Here is a 19,374-nt window from a genome sequence, read left to right on the forward strand (position 1 = left end):
GTTGTGGCAGTCAATTTCTGTTGAGGAAAAACACAAACATTAGTATCAGCCCAAAGCGAGGGTGGAAAACATTTGGAAGAACATGGAAGGTGTTATTGAAAAGAAGAATAGATCAAAGATCTTAATTTTTTCTTTCTATGAGTCATGTAACAAAAATATAAATATCTAATAAAATAATTAGATATTGCCAAGCAAAACAATGGCTTAAATTGTTTCTCGAAGTGTGGTTTGCTGACCACCTGAATCAAACTTTTCCAGGATGCCTGTTAAAAATACAAAGGATAGGTTCAACCGCAGAACTGCTGAAGCAAAGACTAAGGGAGGTGAAGCAAGTTTAAAATGAAACAAAATAACAATACACATAAACACACACAGTCTAAGCCAGAGGCCAGTATACTATGCCCAGAGGAGGAAAAATGGCCCACTCCCTGTTTTTGTAAATAAAGTTTTATTGGAACACACTCACAGTCTATGGCTGCTTTTGAGCTACAATGGCAGAGTTGAGTATTTGTGACAGAGATGGTACAGCCTGTAAAACTTAAACTATTTATTGTCTGGCCTTTTACCAAAAAGTTTGCCACCCCTTCTCTAAGCAAATGCCTCTCAAGCTGTATTGTGGATACAAATCACCTGGGAATGATTTTAAACAGATGACTTTGATTCAGTAAATCTGAAATAGGCCTAAGATTCTGTGTCTTTATAGATTCCCAGGTGAAGCTCATGCTGCTGTCTTGCAGAACAGATTTGAGTCGTAATGCTCTAGAACAGAGGTTCTAGAGTACGAGGAATGTACCTTCTCAGCTCCAACACAGACCTACTGGTTCAGAAACTCTGTGGATGGGATCCAGCAATCCATTCCTTATTGAGACCTCCAGGTAATTCTGATGCATGACAAAGCTTGAGAGCCACTCATCCACATTATCCTTATGCTAACTGAAACTTGACAACCACTGTCTTCAGAGAGCATGAAATTAATGTTCACGTTACATTCCATTATCACTGATTCTCCTAAATACAATATATGTTGGTTGATCATAAGAATCAAAAGGGAAGGAGACACTGTATGAAATTGCCACTAAATGCCATGTTATTTATTTTTCCCTTGTATCTTCAGTGTGGTGGTTTTAAAGACATAAAATTTCAAATGTGTCTCCACTGATTTAGTATAGTTTAGTATGTTACTTTTGGGGACCTCTATTTTCATGGCTGCACAAAATAGCTCCAAGTGCCATGTCATTTCTGAAATGAGCAACAGAGGGAGCTAGTGTTATAATAGTAATCCTCCCGGATAGGGGCGTTTTCACATTGGCTGAATTAATGACGGAATGGCTTCTTGACTCATCCTTGAGTAAAATGTTATTGTTTGGATTTATAGTTTCTACTGTCCGTGTTCGATACAGTCCCTTCCAATGCCGAAACAGCTATAGGTTCAAAATGACTGCCACCTGTAAGCAATTAGATTTGATTACTGTCAACATTCACAGACTTCCTTACATGTTCAAATGAGGTTGAAGCTACCAGAGATTATGAAAACACAGATTCTTTTCTCATTAAATGTAAGGTTTTTGGGAGAAGGGGTGTTAACATAATCATGAGAATAAATCTAATAAGACAGAACAATCCCTTACCAGGATCTGAGAGAAACTGAGACCAACAGGTAGATGCTTCAGTGCATTTCCTAGAAGTGGCTATTTCGGTACGTGATATGATAGGAGGAAGCAAGCCATGTAATGCTGAGCTGAATGATGTCCCTTACTGGTAGCACCAGAAGGAATACAAACCGTTAAACATAATTGTCCAATTTGTCAGCAGGAGAGACAATGTTTACAAAATGCAATGGAACATATTCCCAGAGGTGAAGAACCAGCACACAGATGGCAAGTAGACTATATTAGTCGGCTGCCGTTAGCACCAGGAAGATTTAAATGGGTTTTGACTGGCACGGATTCAAGACTTGGCTTTGCTTTTCCAGTCACACAGACTAATGTTAATAATACAGTCGGGCTGGGGTAGGGAGGCTGACTGAGCAGGAGTCGTCTGCTTGTAGTGGAGGCTGCTAGGAGCCGGTCAGAGGGATTCATGCATAAAATTTTCCATCCCAACACTGACGACGCGTCAGGAACTGTGTGTCTAGATGTAATTAATCAAACTTGGACAGCTCTCTATGATCTTACCAATATATTTGAGTCCTTCCTGCCCCAGTTGTTGGCCTATCCTAACCCCATAGATCCTCTCAATGGTGAAGATGCAGCCATGTACCTCCAAAGACCAGAAGAATACAAGCAGAAAATTAAAGAGTACATCCAGAAATACACCACGGAGCAGGCGCTGAAAGAGCAGGAAGAGGGTACCAGGGACAGCTCATCGGAGAGCTCTATATCTGACTTTTCCAAAGATGAGGCCCAGGATATGGAGTTGTAGTAGAAAAAGCACCTGCTTTTCAGAAAGACTATTGTTTCCTAACCATGAGAAGCAGACTATAATATTCATATTTAAACACAGCAATTTTTTTATGACTAAACAAGGTTTTTATGAATAAAAGCATTGATATATATATATTATATATCACCCTTTAGATCTTGATTTCCTGGTCGTTTCTCAACCTGAGGTGCATAGCATATTCCCACATTCCATTTGGTAGCAATATGCGGTCCGAATGCATGCATTCATGAGTCCATGTGGCCAAGTCAGCCTGTGTGCTACTGAACTGTCAAAGGAAATAGCCGCTCTGATAGGTAGACGTAAGAAGAACGGGAAAAAAATCGCTTCTTTTATTGATGGTTCCAAAGAAACAAACCAAACCAACCAGCTCTTGGATGTGAAGATAAAATAGTGCTTTTCTGAAATGGAAAGGAAAAACTTGGGGAGGAAGGGGCCTGCTGTGGGGACATTAGAGCCAGCCACATAAGAATCAGAGCTACTACTTCCTGTGAATCCTAGGTGGCCCTATGTCTTCTGTGGAGTTACAGTATAAAACAGGGAGCTAATTAGAGTATTAAAACTTAAAACCGTTTTTTGACTCTGATTTTCAGTACGTTTTTACATGTCGGTTCCTGCCCTTCACACTACCAGGCCCTGCAGCCACAGTGTTCTGTTGGAGAAACTTGGAGAAGTGCTTTCTGAACCGGTTCTTTTTCTTGGGGTAGAGCTTGTAATCCAGACCTGTTTTTCAAAGGACAGCACAAGAGGAGAAAAGTGACTGGGACGATGCTTCCTCTCATCCAAAACACGTGCAGAGTCACATCCTCATCCTAGTGTTTGGCAGTTTGAGACTGCTACCCTGAACTTAAGAGCTTTAAATATGAGAGTTGTGTTTTCGCGGGGGTGGGGGGGGGGTATTTTTTTGGTGTGTGTGTGGGGGGGGTTTTTTTTTGGTGTGTGTGTGTGTGTGTATTGTGCTTAGAAAGGTTGCAGATTTCATCTTCACCTACCAAGAGGCAGCCGCCTCCTTGGACAAGCCGCTCATGGACCTTTAGACTTGAGAAGACCCGTGTGGTGACTGCAAAGCCCTGGGTACTTGCCTTCATGTTTTGGTTTGGTTTTCCCTTTTTCTGCTGCTCTTGGCAGCAGCCTGATCATCATCTGCTTGTGGGAGTGGGAAATGGGTATTTTAGACCCAACACAGGTTCTAAATTTAAAAAAATAATAATTGGAGCAAATAAAGGTTCTTGTACCCAGAGTGATTCTACATGGGAAAAACAAACCAGCTTTTTTTCAGAGAGTGACCGAATAGGAAGAAGGGATTCAGAAATATGATGTAGTAGAACATGCCCTGCAGGAAGAAAATGTGTTCTCTCCTGTGTATGTTAAGAGGAAATCAGTTTAAAATGCCTGCTAATCAAATGTTGTCTCAGCTAACCGTATGTCCAGGTTGCTGCAGAGTTTCTTTCAAATCTGAGTGTTGCCTGCTGAACTCAGATGGGAGTTTGAAGAAATTTTAGACAGCAGCTCTGTATTCTTTTTTTGCTGCAGCCAATAAGATAATAGCAGAATTTGCCAATCCTAAGACCTTCTGAAGACGATTTTTGAGCATCCCACTGGGATTATTTAATTTTTCTTTTTGACGTGTGTTTTTAGTTTGGAAATGCTGTATTCCACAAGGTTTAAGTCAGTGAGGTTGGAAGATGCCCTATCTTTTTTATTGAAAAAGCACAATCAATCTTTTGTTTGAAAATCTATATAAAGTACAACTTGCTTTTAGCATGATTATTTTCCTAAATAAAAAGACAAAGAATTTACTTACTTTATGTAAAAAAAAAAAATAATAATAATACAGTTAAAGGATTGAAACAGAATATACTGTATCAATTTGGCCTACCAATTGACATTTCTTCTGATCAAAGAAACAATTTCCTGGCACATTCTGCACAGTACTAGGCAAAGTACCCAGGGCAGTGAATACTCAGTAATGTTTGCAGATGTAGGAAGAGATGGATGGAGAACCGAATGACTGGTTGAATTGACAGATTAAAAGAGGTAGTTGAAGTCTAATGAAGGCATTATCAGTGTGAATGAAAGAAAAAGACAAACTAGAGAAACATCACATAGGTAGAATCTTAGGGTTTGATAATTGTTTGGATATAGAGGTCAGCAAAACAAAAATGGCTGATAAAAGAGAGATGGTATCTTGAACATTAATAAAAGAATCAGAAAGCTAATTGAGTTTGGAAGGAAAGCTAATTCAGTTTGGAAAAGACGAGTTTCATTTTAGACTTTAGAGATATTAGGATAGTTTAGATAGATGATGTCAAAGGTGATATATTCAATTATAATTTTACTGATCTGTTCAATAATCATTTATCAAAGACTTGAGGGTTCTAGGCACTGGGTTACAGGCTGAGTATAATAAGTGCCAACATTTGTTGAGTACTTATACAGTAGGCATTTCTTGGTGCTGGGAATGGGGCAGGGAACTTAGATGAAACTTAGATCCTAGTGGGGGTAGACAGAAAATAAAATTAATAAGTAAAATATATGCTATTAGATGGTGATATGTAGAAAAGGAAAGCCAGAAGGTGGGATAGAAAAGGTTAGGGTTAAGTACTTTCAATTTTAAATGAAGTAGTTAGGGAAGGCCTCACCAAGAAAGTGGCATTTGAACAAAGACCAGAGCAGATAAAGAAGCAAAGGTATCAGGGAAACAAATGTTCCAGGCAGAGCAGCAAGCAGCAGTATGAACACTAAATGCAAAGGCCCAAGGGTAGGAACATGCCTGGAGCATGGGAGGAATGGTTAGAAGGTAGGTGTTTCTGCAGCAGGGGTAGAGTAGAAGGATGTAATGTCAAGGTGGTAGCAGAGACCAGCTCCTGTAGGCATTTTAGGCTGCTGAGATGATTTTCGTGGAGGAGTGATATGACCTAACCTAAGTTCTAGTAGTATCAGCCAGGCTTCTGTTGGAAATGATAATTAAAAGGGAAAGAGCAGAAGCAGTTGAGAGGCTAATCCAGCTAATCCAGACAAGAAATGATGGTGGTTGGGACCAGGTTGATAGCAGTGAGGTGGAGAGCATTGGTTGTATTCTGGGTATATGTTGAAAGTAGGGCCAACACAATTTGTAGATTGATTGTGGAGCATGAGAAAAAAGAGTAAAAGATGATTCCAACATTATTTACCCTGAGTAATTCCAAGAATGGTGTTATACCTGGCTGAAGATGAAGAAGGCTGAGAAGGAGTTTGTGAGAAGTAAGGATTGGGAGTAGTTTTAAACATGTTAACTGTGCAATACTCATTAGACAATCCAGTGAAGTTAGAGAAGCCTGTTTTATATGAGTCTGGAGTTCGGGAGAGAATTCTGAGTGGGAAATCCAAATGCGAGAGTTGTCCTGTACAGATGATGTTTGCAGCCTGAAACTGATGATCTCTTGGTGATCTCATCAAGAGAGTCAGTGTAGAGAGAAAAGGAGATCAAAGGCTTAAGCTTAGGTCCAACATTTAGGGTCAGAGAAAACTATAGGAACAAATAAGGGAGTGATCATCAAGGAGTATACTAAAGGGAGACATGTATGCAAATAAGCCTCAAGTGTATTTGTACTATAGAGGGGTTCAAAGGAGAGAGAGAGGTCAAGACTACCGAACAAATGAAGGATCAAGAAAGGTTCGTTAGAGAAAGACTCACTGGAAGTGGGGGGAGGATGAGGATTTTCCAGACAGAGAGAAATGACATTAACCAATCCAGTTCGTTGTGGTAGGGTGGTCAAGAGTAACGACTCTGGAGCCAGAGTGCCTGGATTTGAATCCTGGCTCTGCCAGTTACTAGATGTGTAATGTTGGTTGAATCACTTAACCTCTCTGGGCCTCAGTTTCCTCATCTATAAAATGAGGATAATAATACATACATAGGGTTGTTATGAGGATTAAATAATAAAATATTTGTAAATTTCTTAGACTACATGACACTCTGCATGTTATACATAAGTTTTAGTTAAATCTATAGAGATTTGGAACTTTATGGAACAATTTGGAAATTACAGTGGTTGGGGTGTAGAGTAGGTAGAGAGAGGAAATGGTGTCTAAGGCTGGAAATGCAGACAAGGGCCAGCTCACGGAGACTCTTCATGTTATGGAAAATAATTTGAACTTTTCCAGTAAGCATTTGGTCAGATTCATGTTTTTGAAACACAATTCTAACAGTAGGGTGAAGGTTACCGAGTGATAAGATGAGATGAGAGGCCAAGTGATGAAACTGAGATTGTGTGACAAGAAAGAAGGTGTGAACAAAATGGAGAGTGTTAAGCAGATACAATCGACAAGGCTTGGTCACCAGTTAAATGTGAAGAATGAGGAAAATTACAAAGGCTGAAATGACTTCCAGATTTTCTATTGCATTACTGGTTAGCTGATAATCCATTTTGTTAGAAGGAATATAGGAGGTAGAACATGTGTTAAAGACAGATAATACTCCTATTTTGTGAATGTGGGTTTGAGTACATCTGTGACATTCTGGTTGAGATGTTCTGGCACCATAGGAAATGGAAACATGGAATGCGATCTGATATAAGGCTGTGACTACAGGAGAGGAGTCCAGGCTAGAAATATAGATTCAGAAGTCATCATCATGCTGGTGGTTGGAGGAGTCATAAAATTGGAAGGGATGTCTCAGGAATCCTGTATAGAATGAGAAAGCCAAAGCAGAGTCCTACAAAGCATCAGCACTTGGAAATGAGGTGGCTGAAAAGGAAGCAAAACTGTTACAGAGGTAGAAGCAACACGAAAGAGAAGCCAAGGAAGAGGGAATATCAAGGGAGATAAGGACTGGAAGCCAAATGTTGCATAGAGAAAGGTCAAGGAGGGTGAGGACAAAAGAGATTTCGTTAAGTGTGGCAATTATGAGATCACTGGCTCTCCACCAGAAAGGCGAAGTGCTGAAAGCAGGAAGCTAATTACAATGGGTGTAGCAGACACAGTTGGTGCCCCTCCCATATTTCTTTGGCATTCACTATTTCCAACCTTGCCAATGGCATCCTACAGAAAGCACCTGCTACTTTCTATGAGGGCTTTGTCATCAGCAAGAGCCCAGCCTTGTCTTGGAGCTGGCCAGATGTGCCAGAGTTAATGGCTGCAGGAGCAGCCCACAGTGATTTAAGATGTGAGTACCCCAGTATTCCTCTCCCAAGGAGAAATCACTCTTCAGATTTGTTTGACAGTTTCCCAAAGATGCCAAATGAGATTCAAATCCCAGTCTCCCACAATAGTAATCTAAGATAAACACATTCTATATTGACTTTTTTCCTACCTTGACTCACTTTCCTTTCTCCTAGCAAAGATTATCCCCCAAGTAAACTGCTCCCATCAAATTCTTATCAGAGCGTGTTTCTGGGTGTGCCCAACTTATGACAAAAGGTTATAAAAGTTTTAAGAGGTGAAGATAAAAAAGAATTAAAATATTTAAACTTGGTTATGAATGAAAAAAGATAGGACCATAACTAGAAGATGACATAGAATCACGAGACATTTTTTCTTTATGTCATGGGAGAAGCAAGTTTATATACTGAGCGGACAGAAACTATAGGAAGGGGTGAGGGTGTAGGAGAAGTGATGCTCTAGTGGAGCATGGTCCCTGGGATAGGTGGAAGGCATGTGGTACCACAAGGAGGGGTTAAGAGTTGAGGAAGAGGGATGCCTTTTTATTAAGTAAACAGAAAGGAGAGAAGATGGTTACAGTAACAAGTAAGAGCACAGTTGTGTATGAATGTTCTGGTGGCCAGAGAGCAGAAAGGGAGCTCATTTACTAACTGTGAGGTAGATTGGGGTGACAGTGTAAGTCTATTGGGCAAGAAAAATGATAGAAGATGCAGGCAAATAGAATGCCCTCATTTAGGTGGCAAATAGAAGACGAGAAAAATTTAGAGAGATAAATCAAGAAACAAGTAACATAGTAACATGGAAACCAAGAAGGAAAAATTTTAAAGGAGAGAGTGATCAAAGTGTCCAATTTCTTGAATGAACATCAGTAATTTTGGAAAAGAATTTCTTTTGGGTCCATGGAATAGAAGCTATCTACTTAAAGGATAAAAGAGTAAGCGGATAGGGAAAAAAAATAGAGAATGGCAAACAGATGAGACCTTGACCAGAAGATAATTCCAAAATATGGATTCACATCAAGTTAATGGAGAAAGAACCCAATGGTATTTCCATGCATACCAAGATACCTGTATTTAGAACTCTTTAGATATTTGGTTGCATTATATGAAATTTCCCAGATTTGACCATTTTTAACCTACAAAAATGTCAATTTCATATGATTTGACCTAATATTCACAAATATCATAGGGAAATTTTTTACTGACCAGAACTCAGATTCTTAGGTTCCCTGTGTCAACTATCAACTAAGTCTATTGTGAATACTTAAGGCATAAAACTGCCAAGAATACTATGCAGTTAGCAAAACACCATGGATGAAAGATAGTGAATGAAAGATAATGAAAATTGACAAATTATTGATTTTATTTTTAGTATTTGTTAATAACATATGTTCTACCAAAAGAATAATAATTTCTATAACAGAGTATTAGAAATAAGCAGCTTTCTGAGGCCGAGCACAGTGGCTCACGCCTGTAATCCCAGCACTTTGGGAGGCTGAGGTGGGCAAATCACGAGGTCAGGAGTTTGAGACCAGCCTGGCCAAAACGGTGAAACCCTGTCTCTACTAAAAATACAAAAATTAGCCTGGCGTGGTGGCGCGTGTCTGTAATCCCAGCTACTTGGGAGGCTGAGGCAGGAGAATTGCTTGAACCCAGGGGGCAGAGGTTGCATTTAGCTGAGATCACGCCATTGCACTCCAGCCTGGGTGACAAGAGCAAGACTCTCTCTCTCTCTCAAAAAAAAAAAAAAAGAAATAAGAAATAAGAAATAAGCAGCTTTCTTTTTTCTGGATTTTCACAAATACTCTAAAAATAAAATAAAAATATCTCTCTAGAACCTTTAGTTTTTAATTGGAGAATTTTTGAGAGTGAAATGGCTAGAGCAGAATGAAACTCTGAATGGTGATTTATCAGCTAGAGACATCATTGAGTGAAAACAACTTTAGTGAACTTGATTATTTTGGTTCTTACTCCTTGCTTCAGTAATTTTTTTCTCAAATTTAATTGCTTCGAGGCCAATGATGAAGGGTGTGTAAAATGCAATTTAACAGATGAAAAATACCTCCTGTGATTTGATATTAAGCAGGAGTGATGGAGTGTAACATTAAAAAATGGTATCAGAGGTGCATATTCTGCATTTCACCTTTATTACGTCAATTTCAGGTTCTGGAACACTGGAATTTCACACATGCTTAATTAAATTACATCAGTACCAATACTTGGAGCTCAGAAGAATTTTTGGAGAAAGTTTCAGAGACAAGGAACATGGGGACAATAATTATTTGCCCTTCTGGCTACTGGACCAGAGTATGCTCTTGAAGTCTCTTCCATCTGTAAATATCTGAATGGAATTCAAAGCTAATAAGATAACAGACATAACTGAGTGTATGTTGGGCCCATGAGAGGGAGAGTGGTCTATATTAACTCCTCAATCCTCCAACCCCTATAAGTGGTTTCAGATGCATGTATTTTTTTGAAGATGTAAAAAGACAAAAATCAGAGAGATTACTAAAATATATTTTTTAAATTAAGAAATTAAATTCTTTTTTTCAAAGACAATGTAATAGCTCTAATTATATCTATTTTATAGATAAGAAACTAAGGCTTTAGGATATTAATACTTAAGCTGTATACTGATGGTCATACAGTTGATACCCAAGCTCTATCTCTAACACATCATGCACTAAATTCCTGTTCTCAATGTTCCTTAAAATGGATTATGTGACTCTGCAGGAATTATATATTTTCTTCCCTTGTCCCTGTTTATGTTAACAATCATGCTTTCTTTCTTTTTTTTGTCCCTTCTACAGCTCATGCCCTGGCTTCTTTTCTCCACTTTATCGTTCCCTAGAGGCATTCTAGGATAAAAATGAAAGACGTTAAAGGAGTCTGAAGTCCTCTTAGGGGGGACATTAGTTATACTGTGGTTCCAGGAGAGCCTTGAGGGTGTAATGGCATACTGGTTAGCTCAGGTGCTGTAAAAAGTATCTGGGGCCACAGAAATTGCCACCTTCATACATTTTGAGGTAGACCAGTTATTTGCTGGGGCTATAAGGCTGTGATCTTAGAACATTTGAACATGTAATAAAGTTCTTGGGGACTAAAGAAAACCGGCATTTTCTGAAGATTGAAACTGGATCCCTTCCTTACACAATATACAAAAATTAACTCGAGATGGATTAAAGACTTAAACGTAAAACCCAAAACTATAAAATCCCTGAAGACAGCCTAGGCAATATCATTCAGGACATTGGCATAGGCAAAGATTTCATGATGAAGATGCCAAAAGCAATTGTGACAAAGGCAAGAATTGACAAACTAAAGAGCTTCTGCGTAGCAAAGGAAACTATAAACAGAGTAAACAGACAACCTATAGAATGGGAGAAAATTTTTGCAAACTATGCATCTGACAAAGGTCTAATATCCTGCATCTATAAGGAACTTAAACAAATTTACAAGGAAGAAACAACCCCATTAAAAAGTGGGCAAAGGACATGAACAGACACTTCTCAAAAGAAGACATTCATGCAGCCAAAGTCATATGGAAAAAAGGACAACATCACTGATTATTAGAGAAATGCAAATCAAAACCACAATGAGATACCATCTCACACCAGTTAGAATGGCTATTATTAAAAAGTAAAAAAATAACAGATGCTGGAGAGGTTGTACAGAAAAAGGAACACTTACACATTGTTGGTGGGAGTGTAAACTAGTTTAACCATTGTGGAAGACAGTGTGGTGATTCCTCAAAGAGTTAAAGACAGAAATACCATTTGACTCAGCAAGCCTATTACTGGGTATATACTCCAAGAAATATAAATCATTCTATTATAAAGACACATGCATGTATATGTTTATTTGTAGCACAATTCACAATAGCAAAGACATGGAATCAACCTAAATGCCCATCAGTTATAGACTGGATAAAGAAAATGTGGTACATACACACCATGGAATACTATGCAGCCATAAAAAAGAGCTAGATCATGTCCTTTGCAAGAACATGATGGAGCTGGAGGTCATTATCCTTAGCAAACTAACAGAGGAGCAGAGAACCAAATACTGCATGTTCTCACTTAAAAGTGGGAGCTAAATGGTGAGAATACATGGGCACTTGGAGAGGAACAACACACACAGGGGACTATCGGAGGGTAGAGGTTGGGAGGAGGGAGAGGATCAGGAAAAATAATTAATGGGTACTAGGCTTAATACCTAGGCGATGAAATAATCTGCACAACAAACCCCCATGATACATTTTTACCTATATAACAAACCTGCACATGCATCCTTGAACTTAAAAGTTTAAAAAATGAATCTGTCACCCCTGGGAATTTCATAAAAATATGGTGCCACATTTTTACATGAGTATAAATTAGGATAACATCATGGTATGTTTGCAAGTTTGAAATGAGTATGTTGCAAATGTTTATTAACATATTGAATAAGAAAATATAATAAAATTAAGTACAGATTTTTAAAAATTGACATTTTATGTTTGTTCAGTTTATTTACATTGTTAACAAATAAGTTAGGTAATTCTATTCATAATAGTAGTTACCATTCACTGAATTATATATGGTGCTGATATATATACATGCATGCATACTTATATATGTATTATTGTCCCATCAAAATGGTCGTTATGATTTCCCTTTAAGGTGAAGAAACAGAAAGTGACTTGCTCAAGATTATACAACTAGGTGTGTGGCAGAGCTAAAATTCCAGCTCAGTTCCTTCCGGCTCCAAATTTCACATTTTTTCCACCCTACCATGCAGCCTCCCAAAGGAGCATTCAGGTTGCTTTCCCAGTTACATATCACCTCCCAGTTGTCAGTGTAACCTTGCAAAGTGAGAGGTCAAAAGGAATTACGTGGCCCCCTCAACATTCACTTCCTTAATTGCTGAGCTCAGCTAACTCTAGCTGTACTCACCTGAAAGGTAAAAATCAACAAAAACTGCTAAGTTATATTTCCTTTACCTAATAAAATAATTTAAGAGGACTCTTATAAGCCAGGATTAATAACGTAGGAAGAATTTTATCAAATCATTTGCTACTTTTTCCTGAGACACTTAAGATATTTCAGTTCTTCACTCATCATCCTATTTGCTTTTAAAAAAATAACATTTCTAATGAAAGCATAACACTAGGCAGAGAAGAATGCACAAATCTGTTATATACAGCTTGGTGAAATATCACAATGTGAATCTACCCATATTGCCATCTTCCAGATAGAAAACTTTGCCAGCACTCCAAAGCCCCCTCATCCCCTTCCCAATCATTCCTCCTTCTCTCCTTCCCAAAAGAAACCATTAACTTGGCTCCCACTACCACAGATTAGTTTTATCTATTTTTGATTTTTTAACATATAGGATCTTCAGGTTTTAATTTTTCTGTGTGTAGATTCCTTCACTCAACATGTTTATCGTTGAGTGGTTGCAAATGGTCATATTTGTTTCATTATCATTGCTTTCATTATTCCATTGAATGAATATGTCACACTAAAAGCCCCATTTTACTGTTGATGAACACTTGAGTTACAACCATGTACCACATAACAGTTTTGGTCAATCATGGGCCACATATTTGACAGTGGTCCCATAAGCTCATAACTCCATATTTTTATTGTACCTTTTCCATGTTTAGATATGGTTAGCTATTACAAATACTTACCATTGTGTTTCAGTTGTGTTCAGTATTTACAACAGCAATGTGTTGTATAGGTTTGTAGTCTAGAAGCAATATACTATGCCATGCAGCCTCGGTATGTAGTAGGCTATATCATCTAGATTTGTATAAGTACTCTCAGTGATGTTTGCACAATGATGAAATCACCTAACGACGAACTTCTCAGACTATATCCCTGTTGTTAAGCAATGACGATGTTGCTTGAGTATATTTCCATTTTGGGGTTATAACAAAAAACCCTACCATGAACATTTTTGTACATGACTCTTGGTGTAAATATTCAACTTTAATAGATAATACCAAAGAGATTTCCAAAGTGGTTTATCAATTTACTATCCACCAGCCAGGCTTGGTAAGTAGGAATGGTTCCTACTCTACATTTTAGTCCTGAGTTTTAATGTAAGTTATTAACAAGGTTGGGGGCTAGAAAGAGGTATCACATCTGTCCTAGTGCAACATAGAGATGTTAAATATTGCACCCAGGATGACTCAGCGATCTCTCTGGACTTGGTCATTGTGAGCTGCCTCCTAGCTGCAAGTGTTAGCACACTAGCTAGGAGTGTTTTCTGGACCATTCTGTGAACAGTGGCAGTTTAATAACATGTGGCAGGGCACCAGTGGATGATCTCATGTGTGAGTAACCACTCTGAAATCACCTTAGTATTGCTGTTGATTCATCGGTGTGAAAAAAGCAATATCAAAGTAAGCCATGTAGGAGGGTGGAGGCACCTAGACGTTGTGCTGTTATCACAGCAAAAGTTAACACTAGGGTCTTCCTAAGGCATCTGCCTATCATAGTGTTTGTTTGAAGTTCTGAAGACACCAGAACTTTTACAATGCCACTCTAGAAGGTAGCATTAGTGGAACTGACAACAGGTGCCTGAACACCTGACCCATTTCTTTTAAGTAAGTCAAAACCTTTTATAAAGTTTGTTATGAATTCTAATACTCTTAGAAGTTCTTGTAAATGTTACCTACTTTTTACTTAGTTAAGAGAAGATCTGCAAGAGATGACAACTTCCCTTAGATAATTCTGGATACCAAGGACAATCCAGAAATAAGTGTGCAAAATGAAATAGATTTGTAATCTTTGGAAAGTTCAGTGAGTATGTGGAGACGGTGTGGAGAAACAGAGACTAAGATTCTTGAATTTATTTGCTCTCTCTCTCTCTCTCTCTCTCTCTCTGTGTGTGTGTATATATATATAGGTGTGTGTATATATATATATATATATATATATATATATATATATATATATATATATAAAGGAGAAACTGAACAAGCAAGTTAAACTTATAGCTTTCAAAGAGAACCTCCACTCCTTGCTTCAGGAAACTTAAGTAGGTGAAGAGGAAAATGTGATATAATCTCTGAATAATAAAAAGAGGATCTAATAGAGGCTTAATCTCCAAGGTATTTCCAGTATCCAAAGTTTCTTTGACTACAAATCCATTCTCAAACTCTTAGTTGTCTTTTTTTTTTTTTCTAATTACATGAATGGTCACTAATTCCTAATAGAGTATCAATACTCTTAATTACCTTTTCTTCAGCCTACTGAGGCATGTACTGTCATCATTAAGTATTTGGTCATAGTAAAAAAAAAACCCTCAGTAACCTAAAAATGAGGTTTGCGTGTTCAAGTCTACTGATGCTGTCTTCTTGCCATTTGCTTTTGGTGGCATCAGTTGACTTAGTTGATTTATACAATACATTTGCTATCAACCCTGGCAATTTTTAAAAAAGAAATGATAGAAATCCCCTGTGGGGTGGAAAAAAAGAAGTAAAGCAAGAATGGGGTTAAGGGAGAAGGAGAGAGAATGAGAGAATGGGAGTGCTCTTATCCATTTCACAGGCATAAGTCAATGCATGTGTCACTGGTGAATTTGAAGAGTGAGCCTTCTCACTGTGCAAGCAGAAAGCAGTTTCCTCCCTTCCATGAGCTTCTGTACAGGTGGGAAAATCTCCACTGGGGAATAGAGGAGTCTTCTCTACTATCTTCTTGTCTGCATTAGGCTACCTTTGGCTATTCTAGTGTGAGAGAAGAGGAAAAATAAAGGGTAGAAAAAGTCTTATTTGACTGGAATAGTTTTACCTGAAATTTATTTGTATCAGAATAAATTTAAATATAAATGAGTATTTTTTGTACTTAGTGAGTTTTTAAAGCTATGTTTTTCTATCGGATGTTATCGTGGACTCTTTGGAGAACTTCCTCTCCTCATCACTGAGGATTTCTCACTTGTAGTTTCCTTGACTCAGAGAACTCTTATTTCTCTGCTTATAACTCTTCCTTCAGCAAGATACTGCTGGCAGAAGGGGGCTGAGCAACAATAATAAAAGTTGTATTACAAAATTTGCTCAGGAATCTGAGTCTGAAAACAGTCAATGGCACATATTTGAAATTTTAACCATTATAGTTTATCCTTTTGTTAGATGACAAATAAGTAAAATGCATAATAAGGTTTTTTAGTTGTTTTCATCAATGTTGTTTTCTTTTTGGTTGTTAAAGAAATGCTCTGTGAAGTTATTATAGACATATCTGAAAGAAACCATTTACTACACTTCCCACATGTAAGTATATAAATTAGGTAGGTTTAATGCATCTAGGTGAAAAATCGGTGCCTAATTGCTTACTTCTTGAGAAATAGAACACTTGGCTTTGGAATAGCAGTTTAATACAATACCAAGACCACCTACTGAAGTAGCTAGTGACTTTGCTGTACTTTTCCCCCTTCTCACTTTCTTTGAAAATCAGTTTTTGCTCTGTGTCTTCTGACTACTTTCTCTCTACCTCCACAAATGGCTTCCGTCACCTGCTCACCAATGTCATTATACATAGGTGAGTGCTACTGTCTGAAATGCCATCGTTAGGGATTCAGCCTTCAGTTTAAACATTGCTCCTTCTTCTCCTTTTAAAATGCAAATACCTCCCAGATAGTCAAATATGAATTAAATCACTTCATACATTAGAATGAATTAGTCTTCAGGTTCCTATGTCCCCAAGGACAGCATAAGAGACTTGGAATTTAAAGGAAAGGATTATTGAAAAGGGAAAAGACAGGAGGTACATTAGGTTGTTGTTTTTCATGTTTCATTCTAGTATAACATGTTGTCCACTGGAATTAAGACATAACCTGGTGACCAGGCGTGGTGGCTCACACCTGTAATCCCAGCACTTTGGGAGGCTGAGGCGGGTGGATCACTAGGTTAGGAGTTCAAGACTGGCCTGGCCAATATGGTGAAACCCCGTCTCCACTAAAAATACAAAAATTAGCCAGGCATGGTGGTGCATGCCTGTAGTCCCAGCTACTCAGGAGGCTGAGACAGAAGAATCACTTGAATCTGGAAGGTGGAGGTTGCAGTGAGCCGAGATGATGCCACTGCACTCCAGCCTGGGTGACAGAGCGAGACTCTGTCTAAAAAAAAAAAAAAAAGGTATAACCTGGCCACAAAGCCAGGGGATGCTTACCAAAGGCCTGATCTCTACTGGGGCAGAGCCTATATCCTGATGCACCTTTAGAAGGAAAAGAAAATCTCTCTGTACTCGTAACTGCTTGGAAGAAGATGCATTTGATTCCTATTCCCCTCCACTGGTCACCTTTCTCTTCTTGTCATCAACAGAAAAGTTCAGGTGTCTAAGTAACCTGGTTTCTTCCTCCCTGCATCAGTTTTGTTCCCTATTACTCAAAGCTCAGGGTGCAGATCTCAGAAGTAAACCAACTCAGTCCAATATTCTACCTGTCATTCGAAAGACCACCAGGATAGCTACATAGTAGAAAGGAGAGCATTATTGACAATATCAGTTTGCAAACCAGAGTCAGTGTCCGCTGTGGACCAAAGGTGCTCTCTCTTTGAAAAGGGAAAAAGCAGGTTGAATTTTATGCCTCACAGGGCCTGTATCATGCAATAGAGTCAGACATATATAGGTGCCTCAGAATACAGGCTCTGCCCCACAAAAATCTGGCCCTGGGTAAGTGTCCTCTGGCCCTGTGGTCAGGTTATATCTTGATTCCAATGGGTAACATGTACCTGGATGAAACATGAAGAAAAACATCTTAATGCACCTCCTCTCTTTTCTCTTTTTAATAGTCCCTCCCTTTAAACTCCAAGTCTCTTATGCTTCTGCAGGTTTGGGGAAAAGCTATCCATATCTCAGAGGAGTTAGGTGCATGAGCAATGGGTAAAAATGTATGGAACATATATCCCATGTTCACTTTGGGGCGGGATTTTAGCATTAAAATGGGGTGGACTTTGCTCTTTACATCAAAAGGTGAACTATAGGACACAAAGACAGTTTGTGCATCTCTATTAAACTGGCTGAAACTGGCTTGAGGCCTGCAGTCGCTTATCAGGAAAGAATGTAAGGTGTGTCCTCTGTTCAATTAAAGTTGTGGTGGTCTGGGATGTAAATCAGAGTTAAGAAGGTTCTGATAATTTGCCTGATTCCTCTTGTTGTTAAGGAGTTTAGCAAAGGTGTGGTTTTCCTTAAAGCTGTAGGAATTTAGGACAATACCATGCTAGCTGAGCCCTGAACCCTCAACCTGTAGGGAACTTGTTTCAACTTTAAGGTCTGGTTTAATTGATAAAGGGGCATCTACTTTGGCCTCCCAGGTCATATATACAAAGCTTTCTCTAAATACTGTACCTTTGGTCTGCATTCACTTTCCGAACCTCAATAGAACATGTCCAGAAGACCTTTATTAAGAGGTAAGTTTTCATGCATAGATGTCCTCCATGAACAACTGATATGTATGTTCTTCGAGGCCATTACTAGTTATGTACTATATTTCTTCATTCCCGCAGAACATTGTCTTGGTGATAGAATCAAATACTTTGGAGGCTGAAGATTATCATCAGCATTTTCCTAGAGTATTCTTCAGAGCATTCTAAGTGCTGCTAAAAGGATGGCAGCAAACAAGGCAGGTTTTGCAATCAATCCATTTGTAGAGATGTTGCTCTTAAAATGTTAAATGTATTTTTTAAGTTCAAGATTTCCTGGCATTGTTAGTATGCTCATACAAGCTGGAAATATCCAATGGGAATCATGGTATGCCCAATTTCCCTAATTTGTTTGATAATGGAGTCTGTATTCAAAAAACTCCTCACAGGAAATTTTAATTTCTTCTGTTCTTCTAAGGTTACAGATGAGAAAACAAAAATTTAAATTTAAACAGGTATTTTGTAGCAAAGTCTAGAACAAGGGTTTCCTATATCCTAGGTCACTGCTTTTACTTTTTATGTATTTAGAGCAGATATTTAATAAAATTATTGTTTTACAAATGATACTAATATTTATTTGCCTGACTATTTTAACGTTATGGCCTAGAATTATAATAGAGACAAAAGTTGCTATGTCCAATTTGATTCTTAAAAAATCTTTTAAGATTGTTTTCAATTCAAGTGAAGACAAAGGGGAATTGAGGACACAAAGATAATAGTTTTTTAAAAAATACTTTAAAAAAAGATATATACTTTTTAAGATTTTCTAAGAGACCAAAAAGGCTCTGCTACAGTTTAAATAGTGAGCAAATTATGCATGTTTGTGTAAGTATATGACATATTATTATGACATATGGTTTTCTTGAGGAACAAGGGGGGAGGCCAAGCAATGGCACAATTACTTGCAGTGTTACATTTCTCATGTCTATTTATAATCCATACTCTAGTATTGTTTGAACTATGAATTAATAACTATTATTTTCATAGGCCAAATACGAATTGAAAGAAATAATTTAATTTTTAGGTTAATCCCCTTATTTTTTCATTTTCATTTTTCTTCCCATAAAGTATTTTAAAGAATACTTAAATGATTATGGAATATATTTGGTGTTCTTGATAAACCTATAATTTGCAATTCTATTTTTGCTTACTCAGAAAATCTTTTGTCAAAGGAATCTTGATTGAGTTTTAGCTGAATTAGAAGACATCTAAAATTCCTTTAAACTCTAGGATTTTGATTCTCCTTTAGTCCTAAATCCAAGCCACTAATCTATTTTCAGAAATGAAACTATACAACTTTGAAGAATTTACCAATATGTCTGCTCAAGTGACAACTCATTGTTCTGAGATCACGTCTGACCAAGAATTACTGCCAAATACGCAATTAAA

At 38.0% G+C, this 19,374-nt stretch overlaps 1 pseudogene; it reads left to right on the top strand.

The window, feature by feature from the left end:
- Window positions 2,003-3,159, top strand: UBE2HP1 (ubiquitin conjugating enzyme E2 H pseudogene 1; annotated as a pseudogene).
- The last annotated feature ends 16,215 nt before the right edge of the window (window positions 3,160-19,374 follow it).

The sequence above is a fragment of the Homo sapiens genome, chromosome 8 (genome assembly GCF_000001405.40).
Source record: "Homo sapiens chromosome 8, GRCh38.p14 Primary Assembly".
Classification (NCBI taxonomy): Eukaryota; Metazoa; Chordata; class Mammalia; order Primates; family Hominidae; genus Homo; species Homo sapiens.